Below are 6,193 nucleotides of genomic sequence, written 5' to 3' on the forward strand. Positions count from 1 at the left end.
ATGCTGAAATAGCTAAAATGATTCTAAATCAAGAACATCGTGATACTTATGATGAGAATGATGACATTAACGCAGCAGAAAAAGTGCCTGTAGGTGACATGGTGAAATGTACAATGGGCTTACTGAAGGACTAGAAGAGCATGCATTCAGAGCAGAACAAGAAATCATGTTGGTTTATAAAATCAAAGAAAGACTTTTAAGACAAAAAAAAATCTTTTTTTTCTTAAAAAAGTGGGCAGGTCACAAATATTAAAAAAAATTGTTAACTAGGCAGATGACTCTAAATATTTTTAAAAGCCACCCAGTAGGCCAGCCGTAGTGGCTTATGCCTGTAATCCTAGCACTTTGGGAAGCTAAGGTGGGCAGATCATTTGAGGTCAGGATTTCGAGACCAGCCTGACCAACATGGTGAAACCCCGTCTCTACTAAAAATACAAATAAATTAGCCAGGCATGGTGGCACATGCCTGTAGTCCTAGCTACTCAGGAGGCTGAGGTAGGAGAATTGCTTGAACCCAGGAGGCAGAGGTTGCAGTGAGCCGAGATCACACTACTGCATTCCAGCCTGGGCAACAGCGAGACTCCATCTCAAAAAAAAAAAAAGCCATCCAGTAGAACGCCTCATCACCCCTAGAGAACTCACTTTCTGGTCCCTTAACTGCTTCTTATCTAAGAAAAATAGAACAGTTTACAGTCTTTTAATCATGACACAGCATTTTAGGTGGATACTGAAAACCTGCCACTGTTTGTTGTTACTGTTGTTTAACAGCAGATACAGGTATTCTGGAAATGCTACTGTGCTGCTTAGTTATTCTGAACACATTATTTTTTCATTGTATTAATGGCATGTCACTTTTTAACCTTACTACTAAGTATTTATGTGTAAATAAGTGTAAGGAAATGATTGTTTATTGGTAGCATATAAATTCAGAGTCAGGAATGATGGTGATGCCAAACAACCACAGATTGTCAAGATGGGTGGCTGAGATAGTGACACTTTTGTTTTCTGATGATTCAGTGTACATAAAGTTTGTTTCAAGCACACAATTATTAAAATATTGTATAAAATTGCCTTAAAACTATGTGTATAAAATGTATATGAAACATTAATTTTGTGTTTAGACTTGGGTCCCCTCCCCATGATATCTCATTATGTAGGTGTAAATATTCTCAAATCAAAAATTTATAAAATCCAAAACACTCTGGCCTCAAGCTTTTTTGTTTTTTTTTTTTGAGGTGGAGTCACCCAGGCTGGAGTGCAGTGGTGCAATCTCAGCTCACAGCAACCTCTGCCTCCCGGGTTCAAGTGATTTTCCTGCCTCAGCCTCCCGAGTAGATGGGACTACAGATGTGCACCACCACACGTGACTAATTTTTGTATTTTTGGTAAAGATGGGGTTTTACCATGTTGGCCAAGCTTGTCTCGAACTCCTGACCTCAAGTGATTCACCCACCTCAGGCTCCCAAAGTGCTGGGATTACAGGCATGAGCCACCACACCCAGCCTTCTGGTCCCAGGCATTTGGATAAGAGATACTGAACCTGTACTACAGTTTTGGAAGACTTTACTATTGAAGAAAACCAAGTAAAGTATATGTTGGAATTTTGTACATTATTCCTTACAACAGAATAATCTACACTTGTTTAAAAATAAAACATTTAATTAAATAAATAAGCAGAGGATTGCAGACATAACAAATTAGAAGATAGTGTGTAGTGTGAAAGATTAACCATATAGGTAAAGCTTTATTGAACTGAGGAATCTAATGAAACTTAATTGACAAGGTTTAGAGAAGGCATCACAGAAGACTTGCTTAGAACTAGATCTGAAGAAGTAATAGGATCCTGAAAAGCAGAGGTTAATGGCCAAATGAAACCAAAAACAGCATCAGAGGAACATGAGGACAGGTGGAGCAATTAAAAACAAGGATTTACTAAGGATACAGTAGAGGCAGTATGGTGTGGAGGGAGGAATGGCAAAGGCATTTCTGTGAGGTAGCATCCACAGAGTTAGAAGAGACACAAAACTGGAAATATCACAGGTTTAGAAGAATATGTTCAGCGTTGAAAGGTATATCAGAACTCTGAGTTGTGAATGCTTTTAGAATAAGGACATTTCTTAATCAATATTGTGTCACCAAATCACAGTCTAATATCTGGTGCATAACAAACGATTCATTAAATGCTGTTGCTGATTTCACTGAAAACAATTTTAGTGTAGTGACGGGGGAAGTAGACAGATTTCAGTGTGTCGAAGAGTAAAAGAGAAGTAGAAAATAAACGATTCTTCTTAAAAGGCTTAGTTCTGAAGGTAAGAGGCAAAAAAAAAAAAAAAAGAGGCAAGGACACATTTTATATTACATTCTTTTTGTCATTTTAAGATGTGAGAAACTTGTATATACATCTTTGTTAGAAAAGGAGATTGAAAACCCAGGAGAAAAGATAAAGGTACATATGGAAATGAACCTTACGGAGGTAAATGGATACAGATGTTTGTAGGTGGAGTGGTAGGAGTGCACGCCAGATGGCCTCTATTTTTCAATTAAGTGGGAGGTGGTTCGTGCTCTGCTAAGAGAGAGGAGAAAGAATGGGGGCCAGAAGTCAGTCTCGAGTTTGGAATAGATGGAAAATGGGAATGGAAACTGAGCTATCAACATAAGCCCATTCCTCTTAAATATTTGTCTCCATGTGGGCAGCACCTTTATTCATTGAAGTGTTCTTCCTCACTTTGAAGCTGATATTTTCAACCCCAAATTATGCACTTCTCTTCTCAGCCAGGCTTTCTGCTAAGAATAACTAAAAACTATGTATAAATGTCTCTATATCCCAAATCATATTTAATCAGCATAGTATATTTTTGAACTTATATACACATGTTAATTTTTTAGAGACATTTCAACATTATGCTTTCTTCAAGGACAAAATGAATGAAAAAGCCTAGAGATGTGTTTTCTCACCTTTTGCATGCACTCTATTGAACACAGAATATCTTATAAGTCATAGGAGAGTGTTACCTATTTTTAGACAAGTGCTTTTGTAAATTTCATACACAATGGTAGAAGAATATTTTAAACCCTAATTGAACTAAACCATCTCATTATCTGGCTCTACTGACCAAAGCGTGTTGCCATGGTGATAAGGGAATCAAGTCAGCAGGTCCTACTGTGAGAATTTTCCACTCCAGATGCTTCATCAGTTCCATCTTGCTCATCTCCAGACACATTGTGATCAATTTAATGGCAGAGAAACAGGCTCTACAAAGGGGGAGAAAAGGAGTGTTTTTAGCAAACCTTATGCCAAAATATGTTGACATATAATTTACAAAATAAGCACTTTCTAAATACAATAACACTTTAGGTTTTTCAAGAACAAATGAAAACCTTTAAAGATATATGTATTAATTTAACAGTTTATGAATTTTTATACATATCCAGGTAAAAATCAAAGCTCAAGCAATAAAATGTTTCGTTGTCTGCATAACTGGTCTTAAATATAATTAAAGCTTATTTACATAAAAGGTTTGGAGCCCAAATAAGACTTACAGATTGGCGGAATTCAGGTTTTGGCTAAGGATAGGTAATTTCTATACTGAAAGATAAAATCTAAGAGCAAAAATTCAAAGTAGTTTCAATTTATGTCTCAAAATGGAACTTGGAACTATAAAGCAATGTTTTAGACTATAAAAAATGTTAAAATTTTGTTACTTCTACATGTTTGCTATTATTGCTGTTTGCTTAGCCGAAGTGGCATTACAAAGTCTCAAATTCTAAGGCATTATGAAATTGTGTTTAAGAGAAGAAACAAGAGACAGAACTAGAAAAACTGCCTCCCCGCTCCCCGTTTTTTGTCACTTGTGGTATGGGAGGAAAACCACATGGAATAAAATGCTTGTGACAGGATTTAAGTAAAAAAATTCTGGATAAAAATGGCAAGAGGCTAACCAAACCAATATGTGTCTTTCAAATTTCTTATTAAAGTGTTCATGAAGGTATACTAAAACATGATGCAAAGATGTACCATATTCTAAACCAAAAATAACACAAAACAATATCCCAGAATCTGGAATTAATTTATACTTGCTGGATTTTATCTGTTATACAGTTAGGTGTCTTCTCTGTTTTATTTTGCTAGTCTGTGCCCCAAGTCTAGGATATTCCTTGGCACTTATCAGGTGCTCAAAAACATTTGTTTTCCTCATTGTTAACTGTACAGTTTTTGGATATTGATTGAGAAGAACTTTTTAGACTACATACCATGTTTGGTCCTTTGGAAAATAACATCATAATGTGACAGTGGGTAGCTAGTGAGACACAAACAGGGCAGGAGACGGCCCCCACACCCCACCAGGAAAGTCAGGCGACCATCAGGTGATGATCAGGCAGTTGTCACACTGTCTCTCTAAAATAATTGGTCACACCAGTGCCAGGGAAAGTAGTTTCCCTATAAATAGGAAACACCTGAAACTGATGACCAGCAGTTTCCTGTAAGATCACAGGAGCTGGGTAAGTGGGTGCACACATATGCACTAAGAAGAGAAATGGCAGAATTTAACTCATATATGACCTTCCAGGGGCATTCTGTCAGAAAAGAGAAAAACACCTCAGGTGAGCATGCGTACAACTCCAGTAAACACACTGCACATGCATCCCGCCCAAGCACTAGTGGCCACCAGGCATGCGGACAGCCCACCCCAACAAAAGAATCAAGGGAAAAGGGATGCAAGACCCCAGAAGTATGCCAGCATATAAAGCCCCAAGTCAAAAGGTCAAACCTGGCACTTGTCCTTCAAGTCACCCACCTGACCCTCTCCCAAGTGTACTTTCCTTCCTCTTGTTCTTGCTCTAAAGCTTTTTAATAAACTTTCACTCCTGCTCTAAAACTTGCCTCTATCTCTTCTTCTGCCTTATTACGCCCCTCAGTTGAATTCTTTCTTCTGAGGAGGCAAGAAGTGAGGTTGCTGCAGACCTGTATGGATTCCCTGCCGCTAACAATAAGCTTCCAAAGAAAGTAGGTAAACAGAATGCCTCATCTCAGTGTACACAGGGACACACTAAGGAAAACCTACTATGTAAGTGCCATCGTCTGGGCCAGTCAGAACGAGAATCATCTCCCTATTTCTTTTTCATATTTTTTCTCATGTATACTCGTCTTCACAACTGCCAAGGTTCCACACAGCAGGAACAAGAGAGAGATGTAAGGTAGTAGGTTGCAACTTGGCAAACAGAAGCAGAGTTTGAGGTAAAATTTAGGAGCAATCCTTTCTGGGTTATTTAGATTTTCATATCCTGCATGACACAAAGGGGATTATAAACATTTGCTTCTTTGGATTACTCATAGAATTCGACTATCAGAGCAAAGTAGGTGCAACTAAAATTAATTCAACATACAAACACACAAAAAATAATATCCAGTGACATGCAAACTAAAATGGGGTGAAATACCCATTACACGTCACCCAAAGACCTAGCTCTAAGTAGGAAAATGTGACAGCATATATGTGTGCAGTAAGCACTGAAGGTAGGGTCTCTTTTTAAATGCTTTCTAAAGGCCAACATCAGAATTAAAAAGCATGATTGAAACAGAATAGTGCCAGGTATGGTTGCTCATGCCTGTAATCCCAGCATTTTGGGAGGCTGAGGCAGGAGAATCGCTTGAGCCCAGGAGTTCCATACAAGCCTGAGCACCAGAGTGAGACCCTGTCTCTAAAAAGAAAAAAAAAAAAGGATGAATACTGACCAAAACAATGCTAAATGGAACTGGTGAAATACTACTTTAAAACAAGAAATGATTCACATACAAAAAAATAAAATTGAAAATAATTTTTCTAAAAGAAAATGTATATGTGTATACGTGTATATACACACATATAATGTCTTATCAATGAAATGTATTATTTTCATCCAATTACTTTCACCCTCTAAACATAAGTTTATGAGTTTATTCAATAATAATTACAATGTAACATGCACTATAAAATTTAAACTCCCTTAGGTGAGGAGCGTCTCTGCCCAGCTGCCCCGTCTGGGAAGTGAGGAGCGCCTCTGCCTGGCCGCCCCGTCTGGGAGGTGAGGAGCGCCTCTGCCCAGCTGCCCCGTCTGGGATGTGAGGAGCACCTCTGCCTGGCCGCTGTGCAACCTTCCAAGTGTGAAGTGACAGCCTTTCTGCAGGTGTACCCAACAGCTCCGAAGAGACAGC

This window comes from Homo sapiens, chromosome 10, assembly GCF_000001405.40.
Source record: "Homo sapiens chromosome 10, GRCh38.p14 Primary Assembly".
In the NCBI taxonomy this organism is placed as follows: Eukaryota; Metazoa; Chordata; class Mammalia; order Primates; family Hominidae; genus Homo; species Homo sapiens.